Source organism: Homo sapiens, chromosome 16 (genome assembly GCF_000001405.40).
Source record: "Homo sapiens chromosome 16, GRCh38.p14 Primary Assembly".
Lineage (NCBI taxonomy): Eukaryota > Metazoa > Chordata > Mammalia > Primates > Hominidae > Homo > Homo sapiens.
The window spans coordinates 69,141,793-69,165,912 of record NC_000016.10 but is presented as its reverse complement, the minus strand read 5'-3'; the positions used below and the strand labels follow the sequence as shown (position 1 = coordinate 69,165,912).

At 44.7% G+C, this 24,120-nt stretch overlaps 1 protein-coding gene across 4 annotated transcripts in view; it reads right to left on the bottom strand.

The window, feature by feature from the left end:
- Positions 1-24,120, bottom strand: part of UTP4 (UTP4 small subunit processome component) — a 36,373-nt gene that overhangs the window by 3,109 nt on the left and 9,144 nt on the right. For 2 of the 4 annotated variants that reach the window (NM_032830.3, NM_001318391.2), the window contains exons 6-15: positions 22,524-22,735; positions 15,205-15,376; positions 15,009-15,100; positions 12,233-12,329; positions 11,456-11,520; positions 9,920-10,042; positions 8,673-8,829; positions 5,451-5,557; positions 2,735-2,830; positions 387-572 (exon numbers count right to left, since the gene is read on the bottom strand). In NM_032830.3, coding sequence (NP_116219.2) covers positions 387-572; positions 2,735-2,830; positions 5,451-5,557; positions 8,673-8,829; positions 9,920-10,042; positions 11,456-11,520; positions 12,233-12,329; positions 15,009-15,100; positions 15,205-15,376; positions 22,524-22,735 — 1,307 coding nt within the window. Of the gene's footprint in view, positions 1-386; positions 573-2,734; positions 2,831-5,450; positions 5,558-8,672; positions 8,830-9,919; positions 10,043-11,455; positions 11,521-12,232; positions 12,330-15,008; positions 15,101-15,204; positions 15,377-22,523; positions 22,736-23,613; positions 23,771-24,120 lie in introns of those variants that run through there. The other 2 variants (XM_005256205.4, XM_047434817.1) reach the window with 2 other exon arrangements.

The window sequence follows — 24,120 nt, the reverse complement described above, 5'->3', positions numbered from 1 at the left end:
AGATACCCCAGAGTTCAAAGTTGAAAGCAAGTTAGCCAAATCAATGATACTTCCGGATGAGGGTCACCTTCCGAATACTGGCCTAATCACTTTTCTGTGTAAGATTTATGTGCTTACTCGCAAAGTAGACAAATAGTCAAATCAGCAAAAGCCAGTATACAAAGGCCAGCCCCTTCCCCGAGAGCCTCCCGAAGAACTGTGGGAACACAAACCAGGGAATCTGTAAAACAAAAGCCCCTCTCCTCCAAGAAATGTACTAGCTACCTGTATTCTGATTTACTAGCTACCTTTATTCTGAGTCTCTGTCCTCTTACCTTATTGTACTTGTTGCTTTTAGAACTTTAAGATTCAGAAGAAGATTTGGGAGGTAGCAGTGAAGAACTCACCAATGACTTGTCAATGATGCAGAACATGTAGGCATCATGGAGAAGGATGTGCATCGGTCTCTTGGGATGAAAACTGATGTGTGTGATAGGAGTATCCCTTTGGAGCCAAAGGTGGTGAAAGCCCTGCTTCTGGACAGTCCGGCTCCAATCTGTATACTGTTTGTCTGGGATGCTGTACTCAAATACCTGAGGGAGGACATGACATAGAGAAATGCAGGCTGGTACTCAGAAAGACCAGAAGGGCATTCTCATCCCTAACCAGAAAGTATCTATACAAAGCTTCAACTGTATTATATTCATTCTATGCTCTCCCAACACTTTTTTTTTTTTTTGAGATGGAGTCTCACTCTGCCACACAGGCTGGAGTGTAGTGGCGTGATCTCCGCTCACTGCAAGCTCCGCCTCCCCGGTTCAAGCCGTTCTCCTGCCTCAGCCTCCCAAATAGCTGGGACTATAGGCGCCCACGAGTACGCCCGGCTAATTTTTTGTATTTTTAGTAGAGATGGGGTTTCACTGTGTTAGCCAGGATGGTCTTGATCTCCTGACCTCGTGATCTGCCCGCCTCAGCCTCCCAAAGTGCTGGGATTACAGGCGTGAGCCACCGCGCCCTGCCCATCTTTTCAGAGCTATTTTATGCACATAATACATAGCGTTCTGTATCTTGCTTTTGTTGCTCAGTGTTATATCACGGAGACTGACCCACATTAATACACATATATATCGGTCATGCCCATTCTGAAACACAGAATAGTCCACTCATTTTGTCCATGTATCATGATTTACTTATCCACTCTGCTTAATGGACATTAGCTTGTTTCATATCTTTGTCTACTACAAACAAAGCTGTCTCTGTATAAATGTCTTTTTGCACAGCTAGAAGCATATATATCTATATACAGATATATATATACATATATATATATATATATATATATATATAAAGAATGATTAGAACTGAAATTTCTAAGTCAAAGACCATGTGGACTTTAAAATTTTTAAGGTATTGCCAACATGTCCTCCAAAAGGGTTAGGATAATTTACACAATGTGTGAGAGTACTGTTTCCCTATACCTTCAGAACACTGTATATTATCAAGTCTTTGATCTTTGCTAATCTAACAGATATAAAAAACTTCCCATCAGTTTTACTTTCAGAAGCACTTAAGGGACTAAGTGCCAGTAAAAGGTGTCATGGGGGAAATTATCATTATGTGTGACAAAGGCAAAGATGTGTGGCTTCACTACTCTTTCAGTCTTTGGTCAAGGACTCAAATCTATAAAACTGAGAGATTTCACTTTTTGGACAGTGTGTGTGTGCATGTGTGAGTGTAAAAACTGACCATCAGCCGGGCGCGGTGGCTCAAGCCTGTAATCCCAGCACTTTGGGAGGCCGAGGCGGGCGGATCACAAGGTCAGGAGATCGAGACCATCCTGGCTAACATGGTGAAACTCCATCTCTACTAAAAATACAAAAAATTAGCCGGGCATGGTGGCGGGCGCCTGTAGTCCAGCTACTCGGGAGGCTGAGGCAGGAGGATGACATGAACCCGGAAGGCGGAGCTTGCAGTGATCGGAGATCGCACCACTGCACTCCAGCCTGGGCGACAGAGCGAGACTCTGTCTCAAAAAAAAAAAAAAAAAAACAAACTGACCATCAAAGCAGTAAGCATCATTTGCCTAGCACTCTACTTAAATGTGCTTCCTGGATTACATTTAATCTTCCCAACAGCTCAGTGAGGTAGATATTAACATCTCCAATTTTACAGATGAATTATTGATAACTTCCTAATATAATTATTGATAACTTCCTAATATATTCCGCAGCCCAGGTTTTTTTTTTTTTAAAGATCTCCTTATAATCACAATCTCCTTACAAATTGGTATAGAAAAAAGTAGATTAGGTTCTAATTTTGGCTGAGATTAGGTACCTGATCTTATTAGGGCTTGATTTCCTCATCGGCAAGCGTAAAGGTGAATGATACAATCTTTTAGTCACTTTCAACTCTCAAAATCTTATTCCATCCCATATCCAGTTTAATACCCAAGCCCATGTCATCTCTCCTCTAAAACAATCAGGAAAATGAGTACTTCAAAATTCCTCCTCCCTCTTGTGATTCTTTACTCTAGAATCTTAGTGCTTCTCCATTTAAATTGCATCCCATCAAACCAATGCATACTGCTGGCCTATGATGAGCCCAGACCGGCAAGGAAGCTTTACTTCACACAGGAGAAAACTACCTTATATCCTCCAACACCTTCAAAAAAAAGCTCCCCGCAACTGCCCAATATTCCAGCTTCTAGGTTACTATCCAGCAGGAAGGGAATAGAAAGCACTGGAATCTCCCTTACCTGCTGGTCCGAATGAGCGATGACAAGGTTGTTGGTATTGGGGGCAATAGCCATAGCAGTCACTGGGAAATTGTAAGCAGGCACCGTGCAGTGAAGCTGGGAACAAATAACAGACACAAGTGGCAACTCTAAGTGACACTTTTCCTCAGCAAAGATTGAATGGTCTAGGTCAGGGGTTTAAATACTGCTCCTCATAATTCAAAAGGGTTCTAGGGAAGTTCCAAAAATTTCAGGCATTTCCCCAACCAATGAACTTTCATTTCTTTTTCTTCTCTTTTTTTTTTTTTTGAGATGGAGTTTCGCTCTTGTCACCCAGGCTGGAGTGCAGTGGCGTGATAATCAGCTCACTGCAACCTCTGCCTCCCAGGTTCAAGTGATTCTCCTGCCTCAGCCTCCCAAGTAGCTGGGATTACAGGCGCCTACCACCACACCCGGCTAATTTTTTGTTTTTCTTTTTTTTTTTTTTTGAGATGGAGTTTCACTCTTTCTCCCAGGCTGGAGTGCAATGGCATGATCTTGACTCACTGCAACCTCCACCTTCCGGTTTCAAGTGATTCTCCTGCCTCAGCCTCCCGAGCAGCTGGGATTACAGGCACCCACCACCATGCCTGGCTAATTTTTGTATTTTTAGTAGAGACGGGGTTTCACCATGTTGGCCAGGCTGGTCTCAAACTCCTGACCTCAGGTGATCCACCCACCTTGGTCTCCCAAAGTGTTGGGATTATAGGCGTGAACCACTGCACCTGGCTTAATTTTTGTATTTTTAGTAGAAACGGGGTCTCACTATGTTGGCCGGGCTGGTTTTGAACTTCTGACCTCATGATCCACCCACCTCGGCCTCCCAAAGTGCTGGGATTACAGGCGTAAGCCACCGCACCAGTCCTCATTTTCTTAAAAAAATACCTATTGGTTGGCCGGGCGCAGTGGCTCATGCCTATAATCCCAGCACTTTGGGAGGCCAAGGCAGGCGGATCACGAGGTCAGGAGTTTGAGACCAGCCTGGCCAACATGGTGAAACCCCATCTCTACCAAAAATTAAAAAAATTAGCTGGGTGTGGTGGCGTGCACCTGTAATCCCAGCTACTCAGGAGGGTGAGGCAGGAGAATCACTTGAACCTAGGAGGCGGAGGTTGCAGTGAGCAGAGACTGCGCCACCACACTCCAGCCTGGGCAACAGTGCAAGACTCAATCTCAAAAAAAAAACAAAAGGCCTATTGGCTGGGCGCAGTGGCTCACACCTGTAACTACAGCACTTCGGAAGGGCCAGGGCGGGAGGAACGCTTGAGTCCAGGAGTTCAAGACCAGCCTGGGCAACACAGCAAAACCTCATCTCTACTAAAAAAAAAGATTAGCTAGGTGTGGTGGGACTCGCCTGTAGTCCCAGCTACTCAGGACACTGAGGTGGAAGGATCGCTTGAGCAGAGAGGTCAAGGCTGCAGTGAGCTGTGACTGTGCCACTGCACTCAGTCTGGGTGACAGAGTGAAACCCTGTCTCAAAAAAATAAAAAGCTTATTTAACCGCGTACAAAACTAACAGCGTTTGTGGAGAACTGAGAGTAAAGCCTTTCCCTCTGAGTAAATCCATCTGTACAAACTGCTTATAAATGTGTCATTGAATAGGGAGTCTACAGCTCTACACCAGGTTTAAAATAAATAAATGCCTAGGCATGGATTTTTATGTACAATTGCAAAGCATGTGCACGCTACACACAAACACTCTTTAAATGCCAGGCAAGGCTCAAAGACAAGTGCTCAGTACATGCTCCTACCATAATGCAACAAAGGTTACACTATGCAGTTAACAGGTAAACCCATTAAGTGTTGCAGTTTGATGTTATTCTATACACTTTTAATGCTTATTCCAAGTTTTGGGTAGTTCGAATCTGATTCTTATAATGAAGATGAGGACTTGTAAGGGATCACTAATGACTCAATTTATGACTGACAGCGTCATTACTGATTAGTGAAAAATGTTTTCCCAGTATTCCTTTTTCGAAGTTTTGATTATGTTTACCTTGAGATTACAAGGCAAGCCATGAAAGGAACTCTTATTATCTGCAACTATTTGTCTGTGTATATCAGAATTTTCCTCCCGAAAATACAGAAAGAACCTGGATGTGTTTACATCACCCACAGATCATTAATTTCAAATTTCCAGGTATGAATGGGTTTCACTGTTTCCATTAGCTGCTTTTAATGTTACACAGTATAGCTTCCGGGTTCCATAAAAATAAAACAGGATTCCAAACCTGGAAAAATTATTAGTTAAAAAGAAAAAAGTCTGGCCAGGCGCGGTGGCTCATGCCTGTAATCCTAGCACTTTGGGAGGCCGAGGTGGGCGGATTGCCTGAGCTCAGGAGTTCAAGGTCAGCCTGAGCAACACGGTGAAACCCTGTCTCTATTAAAATACAAAAATTAGCCAGGTGTGGAGGCACACACCTGTAATCCCAGCTACTCAGGAGGCTGAGACAGGAGAATCATTTGAACCCGGGAGGCTGAGGTTGCAGTGAGCCGAGATCGCGCCACTGCACTCTAGCCTGGGTGACAGAGTAAGACTTTGTCTCAAAAAAAAAAAAAAAAGAAAAGAAAAGAAAATAAAAAGAAAAAAGTCTAATAAATTTCCAGGTCATGCCAATCTGCCTTGAATCTTGTAACTGCAGGGTGAACTGGCTCCTGTACAATGATTCAAACTGCTGCCATGAAACCCTATGCTCACCTTTAGCTGTTTTACGTTGTAGACATGGACTCCAGCACTGGTACCTGATGCAGCTAGCCAATTCCCATCTGGACTGACTGCCAAAAGACACATGGCCTCCACTGTTCCTGTGAGGACAAAACAGTTACATCTCTGAATTCACACAGTGTCCACAGCCAGACCTGCCCTGGAGATGATGGCAAAAGCCAAGGAGACCATTAGAGTTTTAAATCACTGCCAGGATAATTTGCTGATCACTGTGCAAATTACTTCTAGATGTTAATGTTTCTACTTTTTTCATCTACTTATTTAACCATCCCGCCTGTAAAGAAGGTCCAGAGAGATAAAACAGAAGTTATTACTTCCTCAGGCCTAAGACACTGCTTACTACAGGAATAGAGAATGACGGCAGCATCTGCCACTAAAATATATACTTTAATTGTTTCAAACTCCTTTCCTACCAAATGGTTTTTTTTCTGTTTTTTGTTTTTTTTTTTTTGAGATGGAGTCTAGCTCTGTCACTCGGGCTGGAGTGCAGTGGCGGATCCGCTCACTCCAACCTCCAACTCCCAAATTCAAGTGATTCACCCGCCTCAGCCTCCTGACTAGCTGGGATTACAGGCACCCACCACCATGCCTGGCTAATTTTTGTATTTTTAGTAGAGATGGGGTTTCACCATGTTGGCTGGGCTGGTCTTGAACTCCTGACCTCAGATGATCCGCCCACCTTGGCCTCCCAAAGTGCTGGGATTACAGGCGTGAGCCACCGTGCCTGGCCTCTTTCTTTTTTCTTTTTTTAGACGGAGTCTCACTCTGTTGTCAGGCTGGAGTGCAGTGGTGCAATCTCGGCTCACTGCAACCTCTGCCTCTCGGGTTCAAGCCATTCTCCTGCCTCAGCCTCCCAAGTAGCTGGGACTACAGGCGTGCACCACCACACCCAGCTAATTTTTGTATATTTAGTAGAGATGGGGTTTCACCATTTTGGTCAGCATGGTCTCGATCTCTTGACCTTATGATCTGCCCACCTCGGCCTCCAAAAGTGCTGGGAGGTGTGAGCCACTGTGCCCGGCCCCTAAATTTTTTTTAAGCCAAAATTATGGACAGGCCAGGCGTGGTAGCTCACACCTGTAATCCCAGCACTTTGGGAGGCAGAGGTAGGTGGATTACCTGAGGTCAGGAGTTCAAGACCAGCCTGGCCAAGATGGTGAAACCCCATCTCTACTAAGAGTACAAAAAAAAAATAGCTGGGCGTGGTTGTGGGTGCCTGTAATCCCAGCTACTAGGGAGGCTGAGGCAGGAGAATCACTTGAACCTGGGAGGCAAAGGTTGCAGTGAGCCGAGATGGCACCAATGCACTCCAGCCTGGGCACAAGAAACTCTGTCTTTTGAAATTCTATCTCAAAAATAAATAAATTAATAATAAAAAAAAAAGTTACGGACAAACAGCAAGTTCAATAGACTTGAAGCATATCTTTAATTTATTGGATGCCTGCTGTGTATTTAGCACTAAGGGAGGATGGGCACGTCTGAGCCATCTTTGTCATCTAGAGACTTTAAACCAATCTGGCAACACGACAACTAGTGTGGGATAAAAATTGGACAGTGATGCTCTATGCCAAAATGCGTGCTGCATGTAACGCCCCCAAACGATAACATGGCTTTATAACAAGCATAACCCAGCTGCCAAAGGATGGGTGGGGATGAGGAAAAAAGGATGGGGAACAGTGCAAGCTAAGTGACGAGGAGTAGAATATGCAGGTTTGAGAGCTGTGAAGAAACCATTTTGACTACAAGGGGAAGTGAGATGAGAGAAGTGGAAAAAATAAAGTCATATACATAATGTAGAGTCGAATCTCAAGGAGAGCTAGATATAAGATAAATAGCCTAAGTTTTGTAATAAAAACATATATAGATAATAAATAGTTTGATTTATCTGACCCCTAACTTGTGGGTTTCTTCTCCTGTAGGCTTCTGGATCAGCTTATGAACAGTGAGAGTTGAAGATAAAAGAGTTGACTTTCACTAGGCATGGTGACTCACACCTGTAATCCTAGCACTTTGGGAGGCTGAGGCAGGAGGATTGCTTCAGCCCAGGAGTTTAAGACCAGGATGGGCAACATGGTGAAACCCTGTCTCTACAAAAATACAAAACTTAGCTGGGTGTGGTGGTATGCTCCTGTGTACTTGGGAGGCTGAGGTGGAAGGATTTTCTGAGCCTGGGGAGGGTGAGGCTGCAGTGAGCCATGATCGCACCACTGCACTCCAGCCTCGGCAACAGAGTGAGGCCATCTCAAAAAAAAAAAAAAAAAAAAAAAAAAAAAAGAGTTGACTTTCCAGGCTGATGGGAGTGTAAATGACAGTGAAGCAGCAGCTAAAATCCAGGACAAGGGAGAGGTGAAAGGCCCATAGGAAGTATCAAAACAACTACCAGCTTAATCTGGAAACTGAGTCCAAGTCCTTAACAGTTAGCCATAGCTAGCTACATAGCCACACTCATTCATTAATACTCACATTCTCAATGAAAACAGAAAAATTCTCAGGAACATTATATGAACACAGGTAATTAAACTGTATGTATAAGAATACTTTTGGGCCAGGCACAGTGGCTCATGCCTATAATCTCAGCTGGGAGGGCAGGATGGGAGGATCACTTGACCCCAGGAGTTCAAGACCAACTTTGTCAACATAATGAGACCCCGTCTCTACAAAAAAAATGAAAAAATTAGCTGGGCATAGTGGTGAGTGTCTATAGTCCCAGCTACTCAGGATGCTGAGATGGGAAGATAACTTGAGCCCAAGAGGTCGAGGTGGCAGCCATCTATGATTGTACCTTTTTATGAACAAACAACCAAAAAAGGCAACATGCCCACAAAATACTTATATACAAATACATATTAGAAAATACCAAAATATTAATGGTAGCTATTTCTGGGTGTCAGGATTGCAAATGACTTTAACTTTCTTCTTGTTCTGCTAACAAACTAAGGATGATGAAATTTCTCTGGCCCCAAATAAGGAATCAAAAACCCAGTGAGAAAAGAGTAGGTGTGAAGAACATTGCAGATCTCATCGAGAGTCTTCATCTGCCAGCTATCTCCTCCTACTTGAAACAGCAAACATGTGAGTGAGTGTATCTGCAGGGTAGGAGGAACATGAGGGAACCCCCGACATGGAGGCTTAAAAGCAAAAAAGTTACATCTTAGACACGACAAGTCTCCCCATGGCCAGTTACCAGATTCCCACCTGACTGAGGCTGGAAAGCATGCAGGTGCTTGAAGCTTCCTCCTGACAGCTGAACAATATGCAGAGCTCCTTGATTTGATGCTACAAAGAGCTTTGTTGAATCTTCAGAAAACAAAATCTGAAGGGCAGAGCGAAGGAATGCTGGCATTTTGGAAACCTTTGGGTGAACCAATAATAAAAGCCAGTGAGAGAAGGGAGACCTACAGCCCATCAGAAACAATCACAGCTAGGCTTAAGGTACATTAATGCTTCCTGTCTCTAAGTAAGCCAACTGACTCGGCACAGAACACTGGTTTCTCTCCAGTAATCTATACATCCCCCTTTCATCTCTTTACTAAATATTCACTTCTCTATCAAGGAAATAACTAAGTCGCACGTGAAACCACTAAACAGAAAAGCTTTAATTTTATTGCCTGTAGGGCATTACCCTATCCCTCTAAGAACATACCTCAAAATTTCAAAATGGAAATAAAGGCTGGGTGTGGGCCGGGCGCAGTGTCTCATGCCTGTGATCCCAGCACTTTGGGAGGCTGAGGGGGTGGATCACCTGAGGTCAGGAGTTCAGGACAGCCTGGCCAACGTGGTGAAACCCCATCTCTACTAAAAATACAAAAAGTAGCCAGGCCTGGTGGTGGGCACCTGTAATCCCAGCTACTCGGGAGGCTGAGGCAGGAGAATGGCTTGAACCCGAGAGGCAGAGATTGCGGTGAGCTGAGGTGGTGCCATTGCACTCCAGCCTGGGTGACAAGAGTGAAACTCGGTCAAAAAAAAAAAAAAGGCTGGGTGCGGTGGCTCACGCCTGTAATGCCAGCACCCAGCACTTTGGGAGGCTGAGGCGGGTGAATCACTTGAGGTCAGGAGTTCAGGACCAGCATGGCCAACGGGTGGTGAAACTCCATCTCTACTAAAAATACAAAAATCAGCCAGGTGTGGTGGTGGGTGCTTGTAATCCCAGGTACTCGGGAGACTGAAGCACAGGAATCGCTTGAACCCAAGAGGCGGAGGTTGCAGTGGGCCAAGACTGTGCCATTGCACTACAGCCTGGGTGACAAGAGCAAAACTCCGTCTCAAAAAAAAAAAAAAAAAGAAAGAAAGAAATAAAACACTGTTTCATAACAGCCTTCTCCAAATCTCCAAATAGTTTTTAACTGAGCAAGGATTCACATCCAGTTGATTTCCACTTCACACAAAAATGACATATTTAGGAAGTTTCCTCTTATGTGACCAGATATTGGACTATCACTTACCCTTTTGAGGCTTATGTTGTCATGTTCATAATTCAGCCGATAGAGAAAAAACCGAGAAACTGTAGAATAGGCTATCCAACTTCCACATGGGGAGATACAGCTACAGATAATGTTCTCAGGACCCTGGCAATATCAGGAATCAAGATGAATGTGCAATTAAACTTCACATAACAAGGTGCACTGGGACATGACGCCTCAAGCTCTTGCCACTCTGGACATACCCACAGATATCTACACATAATCTCGATCCTCGTGTGGTCTGCATTAATATGATTATTTCAGAGGCAGAGCACCTAAAAGGCATGGCTTTGATTTCCAAATCCAAGAATGGAGGTCTATTCTTATTTTGGCCCTTTGAATACTTCATAGATAGCCTCATACTAGACCCCAACTTCAGAAACCTGAGCAGGGAGGCATTTACTGAAGGAAAGCTCTGGAGGATAGGTGGTTTGAAGTACTTATTTTCTGTTTTGTGTACGGCGTTCTGCTTTAAAGACTTCTAAGAAATAGCAAATGAAGAACATTTGAAGGCCAGGTACAGTGGGTCATGCCTGTAATCCCAGCACTTTGGGAGGCTGAGGTGGAGGATTGCTTGAGCCCAGGAGTTCAAGACCTGTCTGGACAACATGGTGAAACCCTGACTCTACAAAAAATTAGCCGGGCATGGTGGTGCACACCTGTAGTCCCAGCTACCTGGGAGGGTGAAGTGGTAGGATCACCTGAGCCTGGGAGGTTGAGGCTGCAGTGAGCCGTGACCGTGCCACTGCTCTCCAGCCTGGATAACACAATGAGACCCTGCCTCAAAAAAGTAAGCAAACAAACAAAAAAACCAACCAACTAACCAAACAAAAAAGAATCTGGAGAATAAAGAAAAGTTGAATGTAACATGTATGTAGTTTTTAAAAACTCACAAAATGATTTTTTTTTCATTGTATACCCTTTTGTACTATTTGAGTTTTTAAAAATATGCACATGGCTGGGCGCGGTGGCTCACGCCTATAATCCCAGCACTTTGGGAGGCCAAGGCGGGCGGATCACCTGAGGTCGGGAGTTCAAGACCAGCCTGACCAACCCCATCTCTACTAAAAATACAAAAAATTAGCCGGGCGTGGTGGCGCATGCATGTAATCCCAGCTACTTGGGGGGCTAAAGCAGGAGAATCGCTTGAACCCAGGAGGCGGAGGTTTCGGTGAGCTGAGGTGGTGCCATTGCACTCCAGCTTGGGCAACAAGAGTGAAACTCCGTCTCAAAAATAAATAAATAAATAAATAAATAAATAAATAAATAAAAGCACATTATTTTCATAATAATATCAAAAGAAGAGAAACCTATTTCCTGTATACATCCATCTAATAAATCCTCAACGTCCTACTTATAATCACAGGAAACCCAGTCCTGGTGACACAGTCCTTCATTCAAATAGTTTTAGAATTTATACAATTTATGATGCAAACTAAGTAACCTCAAAATTCAGAATGGGAATTATGAGCCTAGAATTCAGGCTCTAGAATTCAGAGCCTAAACAAACTTCCTTACCTTTGTCTTTAGGTGCAGTAAATGATCTGCATTTTTAGAGAGTGGAAGAGTATCCCCATTCTTGCCTGAAACAAGAAACTTCCCTGAGATTTTTCTTATGAAAGAAAGAGTATTTGTACATTTTTCTTCTAAAAAGTTACTCCTTGGAAAAATGGAATCTCTATCAGTGGGAAATCAGAAAAATACAAGCTCACTGAGTAAGCTCACAATTTTTGAGGGGTATATGAAGAGAAAGCAGTGAGTACTTCTTTTGCTTCTATCCTCTGATACATCACTAATTCCCTGAAGCTCTAGTCCATAGCCAGGGACACAGGTGGAGTTTGTGTGGCCTCGATTTTAATCCACTGCAAATGAGAGGACTCAAACATTTCCTTAATAAGTCAAAAAGGCCACTAGGCTGTCACTCCAATAAGATCCATGTGATCTTCTTTTTCTACAGGATTATCATTACCCATCATTAAATCTTGTTGTTTTTCAACAGCCTGTTTTCACCTCAGTTAAGCTAGCGCAAACTACGATTCTTCAACCCTTACCTTGACTACACCCTGCAGCGCACCACCTAGAGCCATAAACTTTTAAGAGATGATCCAATATCCTGCTAAAGATTCTAATACTCTAAACAGCTTATTTGCTTTATCTAATGGGTGGGAAAACCATTAGTTAAAATGGACACAAAAGTCTACTTCAGTTTTTCTATAAGCAGAATTCCAACCGCAATTCTGATTTCTGGCTTCTCTCTCCAGTTTTCTTATTGAAAAAAACGTGCTCCCATCTTACCTGTTGCAACTGTGGATCCCAGTCGCCAAAGTTCTAAGTGATGAGCAAACTGGAAGAGGAGAAGCTGCCTCTTTTTAGAACAGGAGATGAGACATCGCTATATCCAAGAATCAAGAAGTTAAAAAAATAAGTCAGGGTCATCTACTGCCTTAGTACCAGATACAGTAGCACCACCTTAGCACATTTTTTACTGCTGAAATCCATTTCCTTGATAAATATTTCCTAAGTACTCCCATATGCCAGGCACTGCCCTGAGATCTATGAAGACGATGATGAATTAAAACATAGCTACTGCTCTCAACATGCTTCTAAAGGGGTGACACAGAATTAAATCAGCAATTAGACTTCAGTGTGCCAAGAATTTTAACACGGCTAAACACAGTATGTACTGAAAAATAAGGAGACAGGACATCTAACCTAGCTGTGTGGTGGTAAATACAGAAGCCCAGATGAGGTTCACTGGGAAAGACCAGTCAGGCGAAGGAGGCAGGGCAGAACATTCTGAGGAGGGTGATGGCATGTGACATAGCTCAAAGGTAAGAGTATTTGAGGGAACAAAAAGACCTTGAGAATGGCTAGCCTGGGTGGGGGTGCTACAAGCACGAGAGGTGCAAAAAGAAGCTGAAGGGCCAGGCCTGGATGGAGACAGGTTCTATAAGACACACTAAGGAAACTGTCTTTATGCTGAAGCCAACAGGGATAACCAGAGGCTTTGAAGCATGGAGTGATGAACAAAGGTGCTTTAAAACAGATCAATGGGCCTGGAGCAGTGGCTCATGCCTGTAATGCCAGCAATCGAGAGGCTGAGGTGCGAGGATTGCTTGAGACCAGGAGTTTGAGACTGGCCTGGGCAAGATAGTGAGATCTTGCCTCTATTAAAAAAAATAAAAAATAAAAAAATTAGCCGAGGCCGGGCACAGTGGCTCATGCCTGTAATCCCAGCACTTTGGGAGGCCAAGGCAGGTGGATCACCTGAGGTCAGGAGTTCAAGACCAGCCTGGCCAACATGGTGAAACCCTGTCTCTACTAAAAATACAAAAAAAATTACCTAGGCGTGGTGGCGGGTGCCTGTAATCCCAGCTACTAGGGAGGCTGAGGCAGGAGAATCGCTTGAACCCAGGAGACTGAGGTTGCAGTGAGCCGAGATTTCACTACTACACTCCAGCCTGGGCAACAAGAGCAAAGCTCTGTCTCAAAAAAAAAAAAAAAAAAAAAAGAAAAACAGAAATTAGCTGAGCCTGGTGGCGCATGCCTGCAGCTCCAGCAACTCGGGAGGCTGATGTGGGAGGACTGCTTGAGCTCAAGAAGCAGAGGTTACAGTGAGCCAAGATTACACCACTGCAGTGCAGCCTGGGTGACGGAGCAAGACCTTGTCTCAAAAAAACAAAAACAAATAAAATAAAATAAGATCAATGAAGAATAGGCTAGAATGACACAAATGCAAATAAAAGGACATGATTAAGAAGCTACTGTAAAGGAACCCAGATGAGAAAAGACACTGATCCAAACTAGGATGATGCCAGCGTAGACAAAGAGAAATGAATGACTCGATTCAAGAGATTATGAGGACTATGTTCAACCTCATCAAACCATATGCATTAAATATGTATGATTTTTAATATATCAAGTATGCCTCAATAGAGCTGTTGATCTATCTATCTATCTATCTATATCTATAACATATGTATAAAGATACTGATGAGTAGACTCAATGAGGTTTACTGCTTGAATGAATGGGGCAGCAGGTGTGGGGAGCAAGTTTTCTAGCTTGGGAAGATGGTACCATTTACCTAGAACACTGGAAGCCTGGGTTTTCCCGCTCCCACCCAGAATAGAGCCTACCCTGAAAGACAAACTAACAAAATTCCCATAACCCACAACTATTTGGAAAAGGGAAAAATTTCCCCAGAAACTGAACTAGGTGTGCTGCTGCATATCTCCTGCCCCCATAAATGTCTTTGCAGTGGCTTGCCTCAAAAACAGAAGGAATGAAGAAGGTAGCTACAGAAAGTCCTACAATATCTCCATGTCCCAGATGGTTAAAAAAAAAAAAAAGGCAGGGGCTGGGCACAGTGGCTCACGCCTGTAAGCCCAGCACTTTGGGAGGCCGAGGCGGGCGTATCACGAAGTCAGGAGATCAAGACCATCCTGGTTAACACAGTGAAACCCCACCTCTACTAAAAATAAAAAAATTAGCCGGGCGTGGTGGTGGGCACCTGTAGTCCCAGCCACTCGGAAGGCTGAGGCAGGAGAATGGCATGAACCTGGGAGGCGGAGCTTGCAGTGAGTGGAGTCGCACCACTGCACTCCAGCCTGGGCGACAGAGAGAGACTCAGTCTCAAAAAAAAAAAAAAAGAAAAAAAAAGGACCACAAAGCTGAGCGTGGTGGCTCACACTTGTAATACCAGCACTTTGGGAGGCTGAGGCGGGCAGATCACCTGAGGTTGGGAGTTCCGAGATCAGCCTGACCAACATGGAAAAACCCAGTCTCTACTAAAGATATAAAATTAGCTGAGCGCGGTGGCGCATGCCTGTAATCCCAGCTACTCGGGAGGCTGAGGCAGGAGAATCGCTTGAACCCGGGAGGTGGAGGTTGTGGTGAGCCGAGATCGCGCCATTGCACTCCAGCCTGGGCAACAAGAGCAAACTCTGTCTCAAAAAAAAAAAAAAAGTCCTACAAATTTGCCGAGCGTGAGCTGTGTTCAGAGCTTGTGGGACAGGGGGACACAGGGATGGGGAGATGAGGGGTTAGCAGGGGCTTGGAATGGACACTTACGTGGGGAAAGGTGATTTTTCGGAGAGCGGCATCGTAATTCTTTACTTCCACCTTCTCCATGAGAGGACGAAAGACTAAGTGGGTGTCAGTGCCTGGGAAAGCAGGGGAGAAGGTGTACAGAATTAGAAGTCATCCTCACGAGAACAGCCAGAACTGGGCAGGGTAAAGCAGCAGCCTCACCAGAGGGGGAACCCACCTCCAGATATCAGCGCTGTTGGGCTGTGGGCCACAGTGCGCACGTCATGAGTGTGATGCTGGAACGGTTTTGTCCGCACCCACTGCTTCTCACTGCTGTTAGATGTCACAGGGACCAGCTGAAAATGGAAGACTGTTCCCTCGGCTGTGCCCACCACGAAACTGTCTTCTTGCTGAGGAATTAAATCATGAGGGAGGTACACGTAAGCAAAACAAGGTCTGGTTGGAAAAATATTCCGAGGCTTTCTGTCTCAGCAGCTTAGGGGTAAACCTATGCCCAGAATCAGTAGGAAAGTTACAAGGGTCTTTTCCTTCCAGAAGCTAAGGATTCCATCAAAGGAGCAAGCTCAGACACTGGTAACAATGCGCCCCCTACTGACAAAATTAACGTCTACAGTACAGCAACGCTTCATATACCCAACATAGATCTCCTTAGAATAGCATTGAGAGAGAGAAAATACCTAGGACCTACTTGAGAAATTTAAATCCTTCGAAAGAACATAAGAGAAAACCTAACAAAGAAATTCATATCATGTTATTTAATACGAATATTTAACATGATCAAGTTATTATCACTAAAGAAATGTATTAAACCAATAAAAATACTGAAAATCCTTTATTTGGAACTAGAACAGGTGTTTCTTAATAACGTTTATTTCATTAAAAATATCCAAGAAACATCAGCCAGGCATGGTGGCTCACTCCTATAATCCCAGCACTTTGAGAAGCTGAGCTGGGTGGATCACTTGAGGCCAGGAGTTTGAGACCAGCCTGGCCAACATGGTGAACCCCGTCGCTACTAAAAATACAAAAATTAGCTGGGCGTGGTGGCGCATGCCTGTAATCCCAACTATTTGGACGGCTGAGGCACGAGAATCACTTGAACCTGGGAGGCAGAGGTTGCAGTACGCCAAGATCGCACCACTGCACTCCAGCCTGGGCAACAGGGCGAGACTCTGGCTTAAAAAAAGAAAAAAAAATGCAAGAAACACCAATAAAAAAGTTTCTTAAATAAACAAGGTGGGCAGAGCAGCACAAACCTGTAGTCCCAGCTACTCAGGAGACTGGGTAGGAGGATCACTTGAGCCCAGAAGTTGGAGACCAGTCTGCACAACATAGTGAGACCTCATCTTTTTTTGTTTGTTTGTTTGTATTTTTTGAGACGGAGTTTCGCTCTGTCACCCAGGCTGGAGGGCAGTGGCATGATCTCGGCTCACTGCAACCTCTGCCGTCCCGGGTTCAAGAGATTCTCCCACCTCAGGCTCCCAAGTAGCTGGGATTACAGGCACACACCACCACACCCGGCTAATTTTTGTTTTTGTTTTTTTTGAGACAGAGTTTCACTCTTGTCGCCCAGGCTGGAGTGCAATGGCGCGATCTCAGCTCACCACAACCCCTGCCTCCTTGGTTCAAGCCATTCTTCTGCCTCAGCCTCCTGAGTAGCTGGGATTACAGGCGTGCGCCACCATGCCTGGTTAATTTTTGTATTATTAGTAGAGATGGGGTTTCACCATGTTGTCCAGGCTGGTCTCAAACTCCTGACCTAGGGGATATACCCTCCTCGGCCTCCCAAAGTGCTGGGATTACAGGTGTGAGTCACCGTGCCCAGGCTTGTATTTATTTTTCAGTATAGACAGGGTTTTACCACGTTTGCCAGGCTGGTCTCAAACTCCTGACCTCAGGTGATCCGCCCGCCTCAGCCTCCCAAAGTCTCATCTTTAAAAAGAATGAAAGAAATAAACAAGAAAAAACAAAACAAAACAAAAAAACACAACTCACAACACAAAAAACCCAAACAAGAGTAGTAATGTGGCTAGATGTGATGGCTCACATCTGTAATCCCGCACTTTGGAAGGCAGGAGAATCACTTCAACCCAGGAATTTGAGACCAACCTGGGCAACATAGTGAGACTGCATCTCTACAAAAAATGTTAAAAACTTAGCCTGGTGGTGCATGCCTGTAGTCCCAGCCACTTGGGAGGCTGAGGTAGGATTGCTCGAGCCTGGGAGGCAGAGGCTGCAGTGAGCCAGGATTACACCACTGCACTCCACCTGGGTGACAGAGCAAGACCGTGTCTCAAAAAAAAAAAAAAAAAGTAATGAAGATATACATCCAAAAGAATTGAAGGCAGGAACTCAAACAGCTATACTAATACAGATTGAAGATTCCTAATCCAGGGCCAGGCGTGGTGGCTCAGGCCTGTAATCACAGCACCTTGGGAGGCTGAGGCGGGCGGATCACTTGAGGTCGGGGTTAGAGACCAGCCTGGCCAACATGATAAAACCCCGTCTCTATTAAAAATACAAAAATTAGGCCGGGCGCAGTGGCTCACATCTGTAATTCCAACACTTTGGGAAGCCGAGGCGGGCGGATCACTTGAAGTCAGGGGTTAGACACCAGCCTGGCCAACATAATGAAACCCCGTCTCTATTAAAAATACAAAAATTAGGCTGGGCACGGTGGCTCACGCCTGTAATTCCAGCACTTTGGGAGGCCGAGGCGGGCAGATCACAAGGTCAGGAGATCAAGACCATCCTGGCTAACACGGTGAAAACCCATCTCTACTGAAAAAAAAAATACAAAAAATTAGCCGGGTGTGGTGGCGGGCGCCTGTAGTCCCAGCTACTTGGGAAGCTGAGGCAGGAGAATGGGGCGTGAACCAGGGAGGCGGAGCTTGCAGTGAGCGGAGATCACGCCACTGCACTCCAGCCTAGGCGACAGAGCAAGATTCCGTCTCGAAAAACAAAACAAACAAACAAAACAACAAAACAAAAATTAGACAGGCGTGGTGGCATGAGCCTGTAGTCCCAGCTAAAAAGAAAAAAAAAGGATTCCTAATCCAAAATCCGAAACTTTTTGAGTGCTAACATGACACCACAAGTAGAAAACTTCACATCTGACCTCATCTGCTGGATCACAGTCAAAACTGTGTTTCATGCACAAAATGAATAAAATATTGTACAAAACTACCGTCAGGCTATGTGTATCAGGGACGTATGAAACATAAATGCATTTCTTGTATAGGCTGGGGTCCCATCCCCAAGATATCTCATTATGTATATGCAAATATTCCAAAATCCAAAAAAAAATCCAAAATCTGAAACACTTCTGGTTCCAAGCACAACCAGATCAGAGACACTCAACCTGTACTTGTACCTCAATGTTCAGAGTAGCATTATTATTTTTTGTTTGTTTGTTTGTTTGGAGACAGAGTCTTGCTCTGTCACCCAGGCTGGAGTGCAGCGGGGTGATCTCAGATCACTGCAACCTCCGCCTCCCTGGTTCAAGCGATTCTCCTGCCTCAGCCTCCCGAGTAGCTGGGACTACAGGCGCATACCGCCACGCCCAGCTAATTTTTTTGTATTTTAGTAGAGACAGAGTTTCACCATGTTGCCCAGGCTGGTCTGGAACTCCTGAGCTCAGCCAATCCACCCGCATCGGCCTCCCAAAGTGGTAGGTTTACAGGCGTGAGTCACCACGCCCGGCTTATTATTATTATTATTATTATTATTATTATTATTATTATTATTTTGAGCTGGAGTTGCACTCTGTTGACCAGGCTGGAGTGCAATGGCACGATCTCAGCTCACTGCAACGTCTATCTCCCGGGTTCAAGCAATTCTCCCGCCTCAGCCTCCCAAGTAGCTGGGATTACAGGCACGCAGCACCATGCAGGCTAATTTTTGTATTTTTTTTTTTTTTTTTTTGAGGCAGAGTCTCGCTCTGTCGCCCAGGCTGGAGTGCAGTGGCGCGATCGCACTCAATGCAAGCTCCGCCTCTCTGGTTCACGCCATTCTCCTGCCTCAGCCTCACGAGTAGCTGGGACTACAGGCGCCCGCCACCACACCCGGCTAATTTTTTGTATTTTTTTTTTTTAGTAGAGATGGGGTTTCACCATGTTAGCCGGGATGGTCTTGATCTCCTGACCTCGTGATCCACCCGCCTCGGCCTCCCAAAGTGCTAGGATTACAGGCGTGAGCCACCGCGCCCGGCTTAATTTTTGTATTTTTAGTAGAGACAGGGTTTCATCATACTGGCCAGGCTGGTCTCGAACTCCTGACCTCAACTGATCCACCCGCCTTGGTCTCCCAAAGTGCTGGGATTACAGGCGTGAGCCACCGCACCTGGCCTAGAGCAGCATTATTTACAACAGCCGAAAGATGGAAACAACCCAAACGTCCACTAATAGATGAATGGATAAACAGAACACACACACAAATATTATGCAGTCTTAGTAAGGAATGAAATACTGATAATGCTGCAAGATGGATGAACCTTGAGAACAATATGCTAAGTAAAATAAGCCAGATACAAAATAACAAATGTTATAAGCAAATTCATAGGAACAGAAAGTAGAATAGAGGTGACCAGAGGCTGAGAGAAGGGAGGAATGAGGAGGTAGTGTTTAATGAGTACAGGTTTCTGTTTGTGGTGATGAAAAAATTCTGAAAATGGATAGTGGTGATAGCTGTACAACAACGTGAATGAACTTTATTCCACTGAAATGTACACTTTTAAAATAGTTTAAAAGTAAATAATGTGGGGAGAATTACAAAACTAATGGTAAAAAGACTAAAGTTTGGAATATCTTTTTTTTTCTTTTTTTTTTTTTGAGACAGAGTCTCTGTTGCCCAGGCTGGAGCACAACGGCACAATCTCGGCTCACTGCAACCTCTGCCTCCCGGGTTGAACTGCTTGAAATATTTTACCAGTTCCCTCATTAAGGAATTACAGAAAATCGGACTTATTTCCATTTCATACTTGTATGAATCATGATTATAACTTTTTTCTGCCTAATCATCATTTAGTAACCTTTTTCACAGATAAGGAAACCAGAGCTCCAAAGGGTTTAAAGCCATGACAAACACGGCCATCTGGCTCCAAAGCCTGTGCTCTGGGAACACCACACTGCCTTAACCTTATGCCAACTCTCTTGCAGGGTCATGACTGTGTACCAGAAAGGAAAGCATTTTCCAAGGACAGCACATAAGGTGGCCCTGAGGAGCCTCTCCCTCTTCTCTAAAGACACTACTTAAAAACCATTAGCCTAAGACAAAAGTGGACATACCCAGCAGCTTAGGAACTCAAACACTCCCCCACCTCCAACGACACAGTTTACTTAATTTACAAAAAAAAAAAGAAAAAGAAAAAGAAAAAGCCAGGGGCGGTGGCTCATGCCTGTATTTTCAGCACTTTGGGAGGCCGAGGCTGGTGGATCACCTGAGGTCAGGAGTTCAAAACCAGCCATGGTAAAACCCAGTCTCTACTACAATTACAAAAATTAGCCTGGCATGGTGGCATGCACCTGTAATCCTAGCTACTTGGGAGGCTGAGTCAGGAGAATCGCTTGAACCCAGGAGACAGAGGTTGTAGTGAGCCGAGACTGCACCACTGCACTCCAGCCTGGGAGACAGAGTGAGAGACTGTCTCAAAAAAATTTTTTAAAAAGGGTAGTTTTCTCAAAGTCCCATCCAGAGAGAGATTTGGAAGACAAGGACTTCTCCTTTACTCTGTATTCTCTTTCTCTTAGGTGAAATCATTATTATTATTATTATTATTGTTATTTGAGATGGAGTCCTGCTTTTGTCGCCCAGGCTGGAGGGCAATGGCATGATCTCGGCTCACTGCAACCTCCGACTCCCGGGTTCAAGTGATTCTCCTGCCTCAGTCTCCCAAGTAGATGGGATTATAGGCGCCCACCACCACGCCCAGCTAATTTTTGCATTTTTAGTAGAGACAGGGTTTCACCATGTTGACCAGGCTCGTCTTGAACTCCTGACCTCAGGTGATCCGTCCGCCTTGGCCTCCCAAAGTGCTGGGACTACAGGCGTGAGTCACCATGCCCGGCCAATAATTAACTCTTAAGTATAATAATTACAACTGCTGTGGATTAAAACTCTATTTTTAAAGGGGAATTTATCCCACTCATTTCAACTTATACCACTATTATCACTTACGTGTGACATCTATGTTTTTCAGGGCCTTAACATACATCAAACTGTTCTAAAAAAACCTGTGATATGGAATAGGAACACTACACTAGAATATGGATGTCGGCATGTGGGATAGCACATCATTCTCAAACTAAGGAGATAAAGAATAAAGGAGCTGGTCAACAAATAAAGTCACTTTCCATGTCTCACTGCTAAAATACTCAAAGGTTTCTGAATGAGAATTCACGTTACCATTCCTCTACAATATTTACGTCATAGAAAATAATAGGCTGGGTGTGGTGGCTCACGCCTGCAATCTCAGCACTTTGGGAGGCCGAGGCAGGCAGATCACTTGAGGTCAGGAGTCAGACCACCCTGGCCATCATGGTGAAAGCCTAAACATATAAAAATTAGCTGGGCACAGAGGCGGGCGCCTGTAATCTCACCTACTTCGGAGGCTGAGGCAGGAGAAATTGCTCCCTGGAGGCAGAGGTTGCAGTGAGCCAAGATTGTGCCACTGCACTCCAGCCTGGGTGACAGAGCTAGACTCCGTCTCAAAAAAATAAAAAAAAAAAGAGAGAGAAAATAGGCCAGGCACAGTGGCTCACACCTGTAATCCCAGCACTTTGGGAGGCCGAGGTGGGTGGATCACCTGAGGTCAGGAGTTCGAGACTAGCCTGCCCAACATGGTGAAACCCCATCTCTACTAAAAATATAAAAATTAGCTGGGTGTGGTGACAGGGGCCTGTAATCCGAGCTACTGGGGAGGCTGAGGCAGAAGAATCGCTTGAACCTGGGAGGCAGAGGTTGCAATGAGCCTAGATCGCGCCATTGCACTCCAGCCTGGGCGACAAGAATGAAACTCCATCTCAAAAAAAGAAAAAAAAAGAACTACTACTAAATAAGACATTTTGGCCAGGTGCCGTGGTTCCTGCCTATAATCCCAGCACTTTGGGAGGCTGAGATGGGAGGATCCCCCAGCCCAGGAATTTAAGACCACCTTGGGTAATATAGGGAGACCCCATCTCTATTTTTTTAATTAAATTAAAAATAAATGCATAAATACAAAGGTATAAACATAGCGCTTCTCCAGATTCTTCTAGGCTGCTGTGCCCTATCTACAATCAAACAAGACGAACTGGAAGTGAGCAGTGTCTAAAGAAAATCTCCCTGCTAACTAATCTCTTGGAGTATCCTGTATTCTCTAACCAATTGTTAGGTACTATGGAAACAATGTGGGTTTTCAGATGCATTTTCCTAAACTCATCTTCCTCCAGTACAACATCAGGATCAGGAACCAGTGTTCATGGCACGTCACTAAGGCTGCTTTCTCAACTCACCCCACAAGGGTGTACATCAACCACTCTAAACAGGGACTGTACTCACGTCAGCTACAGCAATGGACTGCACGTCAGCATTAGCGATGAGATGGCTCTTCACAAGCGTCCCAGTGGCTGAGTCCCAGAACTGCACCTTCCCAGCAGAGTCCACACTTATGATAGTGCCATCGGACAAGAAGGCGACACCCCACACGATGCACTTCCGCTTAGACACGCCCATATACTGCCTGTCCACAATCATCTTATGAACAGCGCTGCCTGAAAAATCAGAAAAGCACACCTTCAAATGGTACTTATTTCTCTGTCTTCAAAATCTGCCTGCGGCCAAAGTGGAAGGACTGCTTGAGCCCTGGAGTTTAAGGCCAGCCTAGGCAACGAAGTGAGACCTCATCTCTACGAAACAACATAACAAACCCGCCTGCGGTAAGCATGATATGGTAGGTGAGCTGACTGAACAGTCAGCCTATAAATGGTAGTTCTGGTGAACCTGATCTCGGAACTCCAAAATGGTTACCTGAAGAGAAGGGGTGTTGGGAGAGCCTAACAGGAAAGGGATAGAAGGTGCAAGGGAGGGAGGAAGGGAGGGAAGAGAATGAGAACAGAAACCCCTTTGGTGGGGTGAAATGGAAAGAGACATTTGGGACATTCACTTAAAGCTGGTCAACTGCACACACACATTACACTCTGCTCTTTTCCAAAATCCCACAGGAAAGGGAGAGATCAGTGACAAAATTTGGGGAACTGGAAAGCAGACAAGTAGTGGCACTGACTTAGCAGAGCCCTGAAACTAAGTCCCAGGTCGGCAGAGAGGAAAGCCAAGAAGCCACCTGATTTATACTATGGAATCCTTGGACTCAGGAATTGGGGACCCCAGATATTCTAGAAAAGGAGTAAGTGGGGCTTCAAAGAGGGATCCGTTAACAGCTGGTAGACCCCTCAGATAGCCATGCCCTGACTAAGAAGGTGGGAAGCTCCCAAAATGCACGTCAGCAGAATACTGGAGACGTTGTCTGAGGAGGGCTATCAGGCAGAAGCAGTATATGAAAACCAGGATTAAGTGAACATTTCTCACTGAATGTTGAGAACACCATTCTTTTTTTTCCCCTTAGAATGCTGATAGCCAGGCCAATACTCACCAGGCAGGAGAATGAAAAACCATTTCTGAGGAACATAACTGACACAAAAGAAAAGATCTGAAGATTCTGGCTTCAGGGCTACCCCAAATAAGCAGTCCAGCCAGATCATTCTTCAGTGAAACCCAAGCTCAGTAAGCCACATGATGCAGTGATGAGATGATCACCAGACATGAGGAAAGCCTTTAACATGAAAGGCAGAGGCCAAACGGACTAACAGAAACAAATAAATGAATAACAGGGAAGAAACAGGCAGAGTGAAAAACACTTGACAATTATTAATAGCCTTAGAGAAGAGTTTCGGGGTGAGGGGAGGGGGGAGGGATAGCATTAGGAGATATACCTAACGCTAAATGACGAGTTAATGGGTGCAGCACACCAGCATGGCACATGTATACATATGTAACTAACCTGCACATTGTGCACATGTACCCTAAAACTTAAAGTATAATAATAATAAAATAAAATAAAATAAAAAAAGAAAGAGAAGAGTTTCTGTATAATGAAACA